Source organism: Homo sapiens, chromosome 1, assembly GCF_000001405.40.
Source record: "Homo sapiens chromosome 1, GRCh38.p14 Primary Assembly".
NCBI classification, from domain to species: domain Eukaryota; kingdom Metazoa; phylum Chordata; class Mammalia; order Primates; family Hominidae; genus Homo; species Homo sapiens.
Genome location: NC_000001.11, coordinates 227,393,554 through 227,407,143, shown reverse-complemented (window position 1 = coordinate 227,407,143; position 13,590 = coordinate 227,393,554). Strand labels below are relative to the sequence as shown.

Here is a 13,590-nt window from a genome sequence, read left to right as displayed (position 1 = left end):
GAATTGTGCTGCTATAAACATGCATGTACAAGTATCTTTTTCATATAATGAATCCTTTTCCTCTGGGTAGATATCCAGTAGTGGGACTGCTGGATCAAATGGTAGTTCTACTTTTAGTTCTTTAAGGAATCTCCACACTGTTTTCCATAGTGGCTGTACTAGTTTTCATTCCCACCAGCAGAGTAGAAGTGTTGTCTGATCACCGCATCCACACCAATATCTACTGTTTTTTTATTTTTTTGATTATGGCCATTCTTGCAGGAGTAAGGTGGTATTGCATTGTGGTTTTAATTTGCATTTCCCTGATCATTAGTGATGTTGAGCATTTTTTCATATGTTTGTTGGCCATTTATATATCTTCTTTTGAGAATTATCTATTCATGTCCTTAGCCCACTTTTTCATGGGATTATTTTTTTCTTGCTGATTTCATTGAGTTCATTGTAGATTCTGGATATTAGTCCTTTGTCAGATGTACAGATTGTGAAGATTTTCTCCCACTCTGTGGGTTGTCTGTTTACTCTGCTGGCTGTTCCTTTTGCCATACAAAACCTCTTTAGTTTAATTAGGTCTCAGCTATTTATCTTTGTTTTTATTGCATTTGCTTTTGGGTTCTTGGTCATCAAGTCCTTGCCTAAACCAATATCTAGAAGGGTTTTTCCAATGTTATCTTCTAGAATTTTTATAGTTTCAGGTCTTAGATTTAAGTCCTTAATCCATCTTGAGTTGATTTTTGTATAAGCTGAGAGATGAGGATCCAGTTTCATTCTCCTACATGTGGCTAGCCAATTATCCCAGCACCATTTGTTGAAAAGGGTGTCCTTTATGTTTTTTGTTGGTGGTGGTGGTGGTGGCTTTTGTTGTTGTTGTTGTTGTTGTTGTTTGTTTTGAGATGGAGTCTCGCTCTGTCACCCAGGCTGGAGTGCAGTGGCACGATCTCAGCTCACTGCAAGCTCCACCTCCCGGGTTCGCGCCATTCTCCTGCCTCAGCCTCCTGAGCAGCTGGGACTACAGGCGCCCGCCACGACTCCCGGATAATTTTTTGTATATTTAGTAGAGAGAGGGTTTCACCGTGTTAGCCAGGATGGTCTCGATCTCCTGACCTCATGATCCACCCACCTTGGCCTCCCAAAGTTCTGGGATTACAGGCGTGAGCCACCACGCCTGGCCTCCTCACTTTATGTTTTTGTTTGCTTTGTCAAAGATCAGTTGGCTGTAGGTATTTGGGTTTATTTCTGGATTCTCTATTCTGTTCCATTGATCTGTGTGCCTATTTTTATACCAGTAGCATGCTGTTTTGGTGATTATGGCCTTACAGTATAGTTTGAAATCAGGTAGTATGATGCCTCTAGATTTGTTCTTTTTGTTTAGTCTTGCTTTGGCTATGCAGGTTCTTTTTTGGTTCCATATGAATTTTAGAGTTGTTTTTTCTAATTCTATGAAGAATGATGGTGGTATTTTGATAGGGATTGTGTTGAATTTGTAGACTGCTTTTGGCAATATGGTCACTTTCACAATATGGATTATACCCATCCATGAGCATGGGATGTGTTTGTATTTGTTTGTGACATCTATGATTTCTTTCAGCAGTGTTTTGTAGTTTTCCTTGCAGAGGTCTTTTGCATCCTTGATTAGGTATATTCCTAAGTATTTTAATTTTTTCACAGCTATTATAAAGGGTGTTGAGTTCTTGATTTGATTCTCTGTTTGGTCACTGTTGGTGTATAGAAGAGCTACTGATTTGTGTACATTAATCTTCAATCCAGAAACTTTGTTGAATTCTTTTATCAGTTCTAGGAGCTTTCTGAAGGAGTCTTTAGGGTTTCCGAGGTAAGTGATCATAGCGTCAGCAAACAGTGACAGTTTGACTTCCTCTCTTTACTGATTTGGATGCCCTTTATTTCTTTCTTGTCTGATTGCTCTGGCTAGGACTTCCAGTACTACGTTGAAGAGGAGTGGTGAGAGTGGGCATCCTTGTCTTGTTCCAGTTCCCAGAAGGAATGCTTTCAACTTTTCCCCATTCAGTATTATGTTGGCTGTGGGTTTGTCATAGATAGCTTTTATTAAATTTAGGTATGTCCCTTGTACGTCAATTTTGCTGAGAGTTTTAATCATAAAGGGATGCTTGGATTTTGTCGAATGCTTCTTCTCTACCTATTGAGATGATCATGTGATTTTTGTTTTTAATTCTGTTTATGTGGTATATCACATTTATTGACTTGCATATGTTAAACCACCCCTGCCCTGCATCCCTGGTATAAAACCCACTTGGTCATGGTGGATTACCTTTTTGATATGTTGCTGGATTCAATTAGCTAGTATTTTGTTAAGGATTCTAGCATCTATGTTCATCAGGGGTATCGGTCTGTAGTTTTCTTTTTTGGTTGTGTCCTTTCTTGGTTTTGGAATTAGGGTGATGCTGGCTGCATAGAATGAATTAGGGAGGGTTCCTTCTTTCCCTATCTTGTGGAATAGTGTCAAAAGGATTGGTACCAATTCCTCTTTGAATGTCTGGTAGAATTCTATTGAAAATCCATCTGGTCCTGGGCTTTTTTTTGTTGGTAATTTTTAAATTACCATTTCAGTCTTGCTGCTTGTTATTGGTCTGTTCAGGGTATCTAATTCTTCCTGATTTAAGCTAGGAGGGTTGTATTTTTCCAGAAATTCATCCACCTCTTCTAGGATTTCTTATTCTTTTTATTTTCTTTCTTTCTTTCTTTTTTTTTTTTTTTCTCGAGATGGAGTCTCATTCTGTCACCCAGACTGGAGTGCAGTGGCACAATCTCAGCTCACTGCAACTTCCACCTCCTGGGTTCAAGCGATTATCCTGCCTCAGCCTCCTGCATAGCTGGGACTACAGGCATGCACCACTACGCCTGGCTAACTTTTGTATTTTTAGTAGAGATGGGGTTTCACCATATTAGCCAGGCTGGTCTTGAACTCCTGACCTCGTGATCCACCCACCTCAGCCTCCCAAAGTGCTGGGATTACAGATGTGAGCCACCGCGTCCAGCCTCTTCTAGGTTTTCTAGTTTATGTGCAGAAAGGTGTTCATAGTAGCCTTGAATGATCTTTTGTATTTAAGTGGTGTCAGCTGTAATATCTCCCATTTCATTTCTTATTGAGCTTATTTGGATTTTCTGTCTTCTTTTCTTGGTTAATCTTGCTATGGTCTATCAATGTTATTTATCTTTTCAAAGAACCAGCTTTTTGTTTCATTTTTTTGTTTGTTCGTTTGCATTTTGTTTGTTTCAATTTCATTAGGTTCTGCTCTGATCTTGGTTATTTCCTTTCTTCTGCTGGATTTGGGTTTGCTTTGTTCTTGTTTCTCTAGTTCCTTGAGGTGTGACCTTAGAATGTGAGTGTGTGCTCTTTCAGTCTTTTTGATATGAGTGTTTAGGGCCATGAAGTTTCCTCTTAGCACCGCCTCTGCTGTATCCCAGGGGTTTTGATAGGTTGTGTCATTTTTGTCGTTCAGTTCAAAGACTTTTTAAAATTTCCCTCTTGATTTCGTTTTTGACCCAATGCTTATTCAGGAGCAGCTTATTTAATTTCTATGTATTTGCATGGTTTCGAAGGTTCATTTTGAAATTGGTTTCCAGTTTTATTCCACTGTGGTCTGAGAGAATGCTTGATATAATTTCAATTTTCTTAAATTTATTGAGGCTCATTTTGTGGCCTCATGGTGTATCTTGGAGAAAGTTCCATGTGCTGTTGAATAGAATGTGTGTTCTGTGGTTGTTGGATGAAATGTTCCTATATATCTGTGAAGTCCATTTGTTCCAAGGTATAGTTTAAATCCATTGTTTCTTTGTTGACTTTCTGTCTTGATGACCTGTCTAGTGCTGTCAGTGGAGTATTGAAGTCCCCCACTATTATTGTGTTGCTGTCTATCTCATTTCTTATGTCTAGTAGTAACTGTTTTATAAATTTGGGAGCTCTAGTGTTAGGTGCATATATTTTTAGGATTGTGATATTTTCCTGTTGGACAAGGCCTTTTACCGTTGTATAATGTCCCTCTTTGTCTTTTTTAACTGCTGTTGCTTTAAAGTTTGTTTTGTCTTATATAAGAATAGCTACCCCTGCTCACTTTTGGTGTCCATTTGCGTGAAATGCCTTTTTCCATCTCTTTACTTTATGTGAGTCTTTATGTGTTAGGCGAGTCTCTTGAAGGCAGCAGATGTTTGGTGAGTTCTTATCCATTCTGCAGTTCTGTATCATTTAAGTGGGGCATTTAGGTAATATCTTGTCATATTACCGGAGTTGGTTTTCTGGTTCCTTCTCATTTGGGTAGGCTCTGTCAGAGGGAAGGGCTAGGGCTGAAGGGTGTCGTTCAGATTCTTTTTTTTTTTTTTTGAGATGGAGTCTCGCCCTGTCTCCCAGGCTGGAGTACAGTGGTGCGATCTCTGCTCACTGCAAGCTCTGCCTCCCGGGTTCACGCCATTCTCCTGCCTCAGCCTCCCAAGTAGCTGGGACTACAGGTGCCCGCCACCACGCCCAACTAATTTTTTGTATTTTTTAGTAGAGACGAGGTTTCACCATGTTAGCCAAGATGGTCTTGATCTCCTGACCTTGTGATCCGCCCACCTCGGCCTCCCAAAGTGCTGGGATTACAGGCGTGAGCCACCGCGCCCGGCCCGTTCAGATTCTTTTGTCCCATGAGGTGTTCCCTTGATGTAGTACTCTCCCCCTTTTCCTATGGATGTGACTTCCTGAGAGCAGAGCTGCAGTGATTGTTATCTCTCTTCTGGGTCTAGCCACCCAGCAAGTCTACCAGGCTTTGGGCTGGTACTGGAGTTTGTCTGCACAGAGTCCTGTAATGTGAGCCATCTATGGGTCTCCCAGCTGCGGATACCAGCGCCTGTTCTGGTGGAGGTGGAGGGTGCCAGGGAGTGAAATGGACTCTGTGAGAGTTCTTAGCTTTGGTGGTTTAATGCACTATTATTGTGCTGGTTGACCTCCTGCCAGGAGGTGGTGCTTTCCAGAGAGCGTCAGCTGTGGTAGTATGGAGAGGAACTGGTTGTGGGTAGGGCCCTAGAACTCCCAAGTGTATATGCCCTTTGTTTTCAGCTACCAGGGTGGGTAGAGAAGGACCATCAGGTGGGGGAAGGGGCTAGGCGTGTCTGAGTTCAGACTCTCCTTGGGCGGGTCTTGCTGTGACTGCTGTGGGAGATGGGGGTGAGGTTCCCAGGTCACTGGAGTTGTGTGCCTGGGAGGATTATGGCTGCCTCTTCTGAATCATGCAGGTTGATAGGGAAGTGAGGGAAAGCTGGCAGTCACAGGCCTCACCCAGCTCCCACACAATCTGAAGGGCTGGTCTCACTCCTACTGTGTCCCTGCTAACAGCACCAAGTCTGTTTCTAGGCAGTGGGCAAGCAGGGCTGAGAACTTGCCCCAGGCTACCCGCCTCCTGGCTGTGAAAGAAAAAGGCTTTAGTTCTTCCCCTACCTGTGGAGTCTGCACGCTGGATTCACGCCCCCCATCCCCACCCAAAGTTCTGGCCAGGAGGCTTCTCACCTGCTTCAAATTGTTACAAAGTTCAACTGAAGACTTTCTTCTCCCTGCGGTGTTTTCCCCCCGCCTCTGGCCACCCTCCCAAAGATCCCTGTGGTGCCAGGCAGGAATGGGCTGCTTGGGGACCCAGCAAGCTCCCAGGGCCTTTCCTGCTGCTTCCTCTACCTCTGTATTTTGCGTGACTCTCTAAATTGACTCAGCTTCAGGTGAGGTCAGAAACTTCTCCCGCAAACAAGACCTTCAGTTTCCCCAGTGGGGGTATGTGCCTCAGGGGCGGAAGATCTCCCTTTCCCACTTTCACACTTTGGACACACAATATTTGGGGTGTCTCCTGGGTCCTGCAGGAGCAGTCCACTTCCTTCAGAGGGTCTGTGGGTCCTCTTGGGATTCCTGGTTTATTCCTGCAGTTGTTCTGGAGCTAAAATTCACGACGCTAGCCTCTGCATGCTGCTCTGTCCATCCAAGTCAGAGCTGCAATCTAGTTCTGCCTCCCACTTGCCATGATGATCCCTTTATTTTGATTCACTTCCACTTAATGAATAGTAAATATATTTTATCTTCCTTATGATTTTCTTAATAAAATTTTATTTTCTCTAATTACTGTAAGAATATAGTATATAATATGTATATGTTAATCGATTGTTTGTTATCAGTAAGGCTTCCAGTCAACAGTAGGCTATTAGTAGTTAAATTTAGGGGCAGTCCAAAGTTATACATAGATTTGTGGCTTCACAGGGGGTCAGTGCCCTCAAGCCCCATGTTGCTCCAGGGTCAACTGTAGATTAATGGTTGCCTGGGGCTGGGAGAGGGGAGAATGATGAGTTTCTTCTGATGAGTATGGGTTTCCTTTTGGAGATAAAAAAATGATGAAATTGACTGTGGGGGGTCGATGGGTGCAAAACTCTGAATATAGCAAAAACGATTAAATTAAACAATTGATGTTTTTAAAATAAGAAAACGCTAAACCCCATCAAAAAATGAGCCAAAGCCCTGGGTGTGGTGGCTCACGCCTGTAATCCCAGCAGTTTGGGAGGCCAAGGCAGGTGGATCACCGGAGGTCAAGAGTTTGAGACCAGCCTTACCAGCATGGTGAAACCCTGCCTCTACTAAAAAAAAAAAAAAAAAAATTACCTGGGGATGGTGGCACATGCCTATAATCCCAGCTACTCAGCAGGCTGAGGCAGGAGAATCACTTGAACCCGGGAGGTGGAGGTTGAAGTGAGCCAAGATCATGCAATTGCATTCCATCCTGGGCAACAAGAGCAAAACTCCGTCTCAAAAAAAAGAAAAAAAGAACCAAAGATCTTTTTTTTTTTTTGAGACAGAGTCTCGCTCTGTCACCCAGGCTGTAGTGCAGTGGCGCAATCTCGGCTCACTGCAAGCTCCGCCTCCCAGGTTCACACCATTCTCCGGCCTCAGCCTCCCAAATAGCTGGGACTACAGGAGCCCGCCACCACGTCCGGCTAATTTTTTTTTTTTTTTTTTTTTGTATTTTTAGTAGAGACAGGGTTTCACCGTGTTAGCCAGGATGGTCTGGATCTCCTGACTTTGTGATCTGCCCGCCCCAGCCTCCCAAAGTGCTGGGATTACAGGCGTCAGCCACCACGCCCGGCCATGAACCAAAGATCTTAACAGGCACCTCACCATAGAAGATACACAGATGGCAAATAAGCATATGAAAAGATGCTCAACATTATACCTCATCAGGGAAATGCAAATTTAAACAAAGAGGCACCACTACACACCTATTAGAATGGCCAAAACCCAGAACACTGACAACACCAAATGTTGATGAGGATGTGGAGCAACACAAAGGCTCACTCTTTGCTGGTGGGAATGCAAAATGTTTCAGCCACTTTGGAAGACAGTTTGGCAGTTTCTTACAAAACACAACATATTCTTCACGTACAGTCCAGCACTCACACACCTTGGTATTTACCCAAGTGAGTTAAAAAAATTATGTCCACACAAAACCTGCACACAGGTGTTGATTTATTCATAGTTGCCAAAATTCAGAGGCAACCAAATGTCATTTGGTAGGTGAATGGATAAATATACTGGTACATCTGGACAATGGGGTATTACTCAGTACTAGAAGGAAATGAGCTAACAAACCAGGAAAAGACATGGAGGAAAGTTAAGTGCATGTTACTAAGTGAAAGAAGCCAATCTGAAGGGCTATAGGCTGTATAATTCCAATGACATGACATTTTGGAAAAGGCAAAACTATGGGGACAGTAAAAAATCATTGATCATTGTCGGGGAGGGAGGGATAAGACACAGAACGCAGAGGATTTTTAGGGCAGTGAAACTGCTCTGTATGACACTATAATGGTGGATGTCATCATACATTTTTTTCAAACCCATAGAACGTAAGATACCAAGAGTGAACCCTAATGTAAACTCTGGATTTTGTGTCATAGTGATGTGTCAATGTAGATTCATCAATTGTAAGAAATGTACCAATCTGGTGGAAGATGTTGATAGTAGGAAAGGCTATGCATGTGCAGGGATAGAAGAAATATGGGAACTCTGTATCTATTCCAGTATTTTTTTTTTTTTGAGATAGGATCTCACTCTGTCACTCAGGCTGAAGTGCAGTGGCTCAATCACAGCTCATTGCAGCCTCGACCTCCTGGGCTCAAGCGATCCTCCAACCTCAGCCTCCCAAGTAGCTGGGATTACAGGAAAGTGCCACCATGCCCAGCTAATTTTTTTGATGTTTAGTAGAGACAAGATCTTGCTATGTTGCCTAGGCTAGTCTCAAATTCCTAGGGTCCAGCAATCCACCTGCCCCGGCCTCCTAAAGTGCTGGGATTACAGGCATGAGCCACCGTGCCTGGCCTCCACTTATTTTTGCTATGAACCTAAACTGCTCTAAAAAATAAAGTCTATTTAAGAAAATTAACTAAATGAAAGAGAAAAGGGAGATGGTATAGCTCCTGCCCTAATGGAGTATACTTACTAGTATGTACTATTCTTGAAAAGAAAAAAAATCCATAAATATTTTTAAAACGTTTTTAAAAGTTGATTCTAAAACTCATTGTACTGGGTAAGGGCACACCAGACAAGCAGTCTCCTTACAAAACAGTGCCCAATACACCCTGTTCCTGCCCAGGTGTACCACAGGGGACCCTTACAGTGCAGTGCCCTTCATCTAGTTAACTGAGAGTAGGGATGGCTTTGAGAGCATCCAACTACATAGAATAAAAAGGGTCTTTGCACTGGAGGCTCTTAAGAGAAGTCAAGCACAAATCCATTGTTTTATAAATGAAAATACTGGAGCTCAGAGAAATTAACTAAAGGTAGAGGGACTTCAGTGGTAAAATGTGTTTTTGATGCATTATCTCACAAAAACCTTAAGAAGTCAGTGATATTAATGTCCCTGATTTAGAGAGGAAGGAAATAAGAGACTAAGGAATTTGTTCAAGTTCACACAGCTATTTAAGTGACAGAATCAACTCTAACTCCAGAGCATATTGTCTGACTTCTATGCTAGAGTTCTCCTTCAGCACTTCTTTTCATAAAATGAATCTACTTGGTGATTATATTATTACTTGATCATTTGTTTTGAATTCTAGTCCTCGGAAAAGTTCATGTTTTCTTTGGTTTGTTTTCTAGGATTCCTTTTCAGAACAAATCATTCCACTTTATAGTGCTATAACAGTCCTCTCATTAAAGGAACTATAATTTTTTTTCTATCACAGCATTCTAAAGCTTCAATGCCAACAGCCACTCCAACCTCCCCTTTATACATGTCCCAAATGTATAACCTAAAAGGACTTATGTGAAAATCTGAAGTTTCATTCATTTGTTTATGTATTACTTCATTCAGCAAATATTTATTGAGCACTTATTGTAAGACAGGCCTTGGGTATACAATGAATATAACAGACATGATCCTTGCAGCCATGGAGCCTGTAGTCTAAGGGAGGAATATAGACATTAAACAAGCACAATCAGTACTTAGAATTATAAGCCATATTAAGCGCTATGAGGAAAATAAATGGAAAACCATGAGAGACTACAAGAGAGGACTGGATTTTGATTGGGAGACCAAGAAAGGCCTCTTTGAAAAAATGATGAGCCGAGAGCATCAGGATGAGTTAGTGTCAGAAAGGCGAGGTTTAGGTGGAAGGTTATAGGGTGGGGCACATGCAGCATTTCAGGAAAATGAACTGCATATGTGAAAGATCCAAGATAAGATGGTGTTTGCATGGTTAAGAACCGAAAACAACTTAATGTGGCTAGAGTGTAGTAAGTGAGGAGCGTGGTAGGAGATGAGGTTGGAGATTTAAACTTAAATCTGATCATGCAGATGCTTGCAGTCCATATAAGGACTTCTCCTTATATGAGAGGAGGGAAATGGGCTTCTCCACTCTCTGGTCCCACCAGAAAGTTTTCAGAACATTTTTCACGAAAATAAATTCTCTTCAGAGGAACCAGGTGGGTATCTGAACTTCCTTTGAAGTAGGATTTTACCGTTGCCACAGGACTCTCAGAAGTCTGATCCTTTTAGTCACTAACCATATAAGGATCCTTATCAAGGTTTGAACTATGTTTCAAAGATCTCTCTGGCCACCATAGTGAGCATAAGAGGGAGGGGCAGGAAAAGAGGGTGGGATGGTGCGTAGCAATTGAGTTGCAGTAGTCCATTTGAGAGGGAATAAGGACTTGGAGACGGAGAAATAGGAAAAGACTTGAGAAATATTTTGAAAGTGGAATCAGTAGTATTTGGTAATGGGCTGGCGGTTATAAGCAAAGGAGAGGGCATTTGAAAAGATGACTCCTAGGTTTGTGGCTTTAGCAAATGAACAGATGGTAGTAACATATATTTAGATAAGGAAGATGGGAGGAGGAAGATCAAGAGTTCAGGTTTGGACAAGTTAAATTTCAGTTGCCTCTGAGATATGTGAGTAGGCAGTTGGCTACACAAGCCTGGAGGTCAGAAAAAAGGCCTGGACTGGAGATTAAAATGTGGGTGTTAACAGCATTTGGTGATATTTAAACCCACAGAACTGGGCCGGGCACAGTGACTCACCCCTGTAATCCCAACACTTTGGGAGGCGGAGATGGGTGGATTACTTGCGGTCAGAAGTTCAAGACCAGCCTAGCCAACACGGAAAAACTCTGTCTCTACTAAAAATACAAAAATTAGCTGGGCATGGTGGCTCATGCCTGTAATCCCAGCTACTCGGGAGGCTGAGGCAGGAGAATCGCTTGAACCCAGGAGGTGGAGGTTGCAGTGAGCCAAGATCACACCACTGCACTCCAGCCTGGGTGACAGAGCGAGACTCTGTCTCAAAAAATAAAATAACCTAAAATGAAATAAAAGTAAAGCTACAGGACTGAATAAGATTACTTGGGGGAAAGTGTAGAGAGAAGAAAGAAACAGGGTCCATAAGGAGTGCCAAGTGGTCTCTAATACATAGAGGCAGAGGAGAGGAGATAGGGTTAGCTGTGAGACTTGGATTAGCCTGGACATAGGAGAAAGGAGAGGACAGCATGGTGACAAAAAGACCAAGGGGAGAGTGTTTCAATAACGGTGCAAGCAACTATGTCTAGTGCTTCTGAGAGGTTAAGTTGAGGTTGGGAATGTATCTACTGTATTTGGTATTGTTGTAGTAGTGTGCTGAAACTGACTCCCATCAGTGCAGAGAATCTATGTGGGCATCTTTTCCCAATTCTGTGTTTAGTGATGACACATTGGTAGCCATGGTGGGAGTATTTCCACTGTGGAAGTTAGCAACCACTTCTATGGTTTTTTTTGTTTGTTTGTTTTGTTTTGTTTTTGGAGAGCTGGTTGTAAACATGTAACAGCATGCCACTGACAATATGACTCCATTTGTAATAAGCTGAAAAGGGAAATGGCCTTCTCTGCTCTCTGGTCTCGTCAGAAAGTTTTCATGAAAATAAATTATCCTCAGAGGAACCAGCTGGGTGTCTGAACTTCCTTTGAAGTGGACTTCTACCTTTGCCACTGGACTCTCTAAAGTCTTAGCCTTTTAGTCACTAACCTTCACAAATCTGATGCCGACCAACAGGAAAAAAAAAATCAATGTGGTCATATGAAGAATTCCTTCCAACTCTGAGATGCTGTGATTCTGTGTTGGCTGCAAGAAATTCCAGGAAGCACAAGCAGTAAACCACATTTCATTTACTCCTGGGCTTATTTACTTGGTAAAAATAATCATTAGAAAATTCCAGAATCCAGGGGCTAAGAAATGATATTTTCCACATCTTTTTTATTTTTGAAAAATGTTTACTATTTTATAAAAAAAAAAAAAGTAGATAAAAAAATTAACTGTGGCTGGGCACAGTGGCTCATGCCTGTAATCTCAGCACTTTGGGAGGCCAAGGCAGGCGGATCACTTGAGGCCAGGAGTTCGAGACCAGCCTTCCCAACATGGCAAAACACCGTCTCTACTGAAAATACAAAAATTAGTTGGGCGTGGTGGCACACGCCTGTAATCTCAGCTACTCAAGAGGCTGAGGCAGGAGAATTGTTTAAACTCAAGATCACGCCACTGCCCTCAAGCCTGGCAACAGAGTGAGACTATGTCCCCCCCAAAAATATTAATTGAAATATTAATTGAATATTGATTGAATATTAATTGAATTATCACTACTTGAAGCCAGAGGCAAGGCAGGCTTCTCCTACTCTAGAAAGGAAAAAGAAGAGGAATATTTAATAATTTAGATGTTCTTAGAATATGGAATTGTTAAGTATGCAAGTTAACACTATGAGGACAACTACTAAAATAAATAAGATACCATGTCTGGCTCCTAAAGTAACAGCAGAAGAAAAAAGGACTATAGAAAATGTTTTCAACACAAGAGAAGGAAGGAAAAAGGAAAAAATAAGCAAAGAATGATAAACATAAGATGAAAAAATAAGAAAATTAAAAATAAGTTGAAACATTATCATTAGCCTCAGCAACCATAAACGTGTTAAACATTGACTTTCAAAAAGAGATTATCAGAATGATTTTTTTTTTCCAGACAGAGTCTCGCTCTGTCACACAGGTTGGAGTGCAATGGCATGATCTAGGCTCACTGCAACCTCCAGTCCATCAGGATCAAGCGATTCTTCTGCCTCAGCCTCCCAAGTAGCTGAGATTACAGGCACACGCCACCACACCTGTATTTTCAGTACAGACAGGGTTTCACTATGTTGGTCAGGCTGGTCTCAAACTCCTGACCTCAAGTGATTCACCCGCCTTGGCCTCCCAAGTGAGAATGAATTTTTTAAAACCCCAAATCCGTCCAGGCGTGGTGGCTAACACCTGTAATCCCAACACTTTGGGAAGACGAAGTGGGCAGATCACCAGAGGTCAGGAGTTCAAGACCAGAGACCAGCCTGGTCAACATGTTGAAACTCCGTCTCTACTAAAAATACAAAAATCAGCTGGGTGTGGTGACACATGCCTGTGGTCCCAGCTACTCAGGAGGCTGAGGCATGAGAATAGCGTGAACCCAGGAGGCGGAGGTTGCAGTGAGCCGAGATTGTGCCATTGCACTCCAGCCTGGGAGACAGGAGTGAAACGCCACCTCAAAAAAAAAAAAAAAAAAATGCATTGAATACACCTAACTTACCAAACATCACAGCTTAGCTTAGCCTAAATTAAATGTGCTCAGAACACATACATTAGCCTACCATTGGACAAAACCATCTAATACAAAGCCTATTTTTCAATATCTTGTGTAATTTATTGAATACTGTACCGAAAGTGAAAAATTGAATAGTTGCATGGTTACTTGAAGTATAGTTTCTACTGAATTGCTTTTAAAGCATTGTATAGTTGAAAAATTGTAAGTTGAACCATCGTTATCAGTATAGGCAGGGCCGTGCTCCCTCTGAAGGTGCTAGGAAAGGAATTACTCCATGCCTCTCTCACAACTTCTGGCAGCTTCAGATGTTCCTCACCTTGTAGGTGCACCACTCCAAGCCTGTCTTTACATGATGTTTTCCCTGTGTGTCTTCACATCATCTTCCTCTGTGTCTATGTCTGTGTCCATATTTCCCTCTTCTTTTAAGGACACCAGTCTTGTTGGATTAGAGGCCCACCCTACTCCAC

General features: G+C 42.1%; 1 long non-coding RNA gene across 1 annotated transcript in view, besides 1 other annotated feature; it reads right to left on the bottom strand.

The window, feature by feature from the left end:
• The window catches only part of LINC01641 (long intergenic non-protein coding RNA 1641), a 24,165-nt gene extending 10,575 nt beyond the window's left edge, over window positions 1-13,590 (bottom strand). The window contains exons 1-2 of the long non-coding RNA NR_187381.1: window positions 13,440-13,590; window positions 11,530-11,625 (exon numbers count right to left, since the gene is read on the bottom strand). This is a non-coding gene — a long non-coding RNA (long intergenic non-protein coding RNA 1641). The remainder of the gene's footprint in view (window positions 1-11,529; window positions 11,626-13,439) is intronic.
• Window positions 9,707-10,906: an enhancer, noted in NCBI's record as "P300/CBP strongly-dependent group 1 enhancer chr1:227583939-227585138 (GRCh37/hg19 assembly coordinates)". NCBI's record gives its function as "activates an origin of replication core promoter dependent on BRD2, BRD4, P300/CBP, MED14 and CDK7 cofactors, with strong dependence on P300/CBP, by STARR-seq in HCT116 cells {active_cell/tissue: HCT116}" and the evidence as "EXISTENCE:reporter gene assay evidence [ECO:0000049][PMID:35650434]".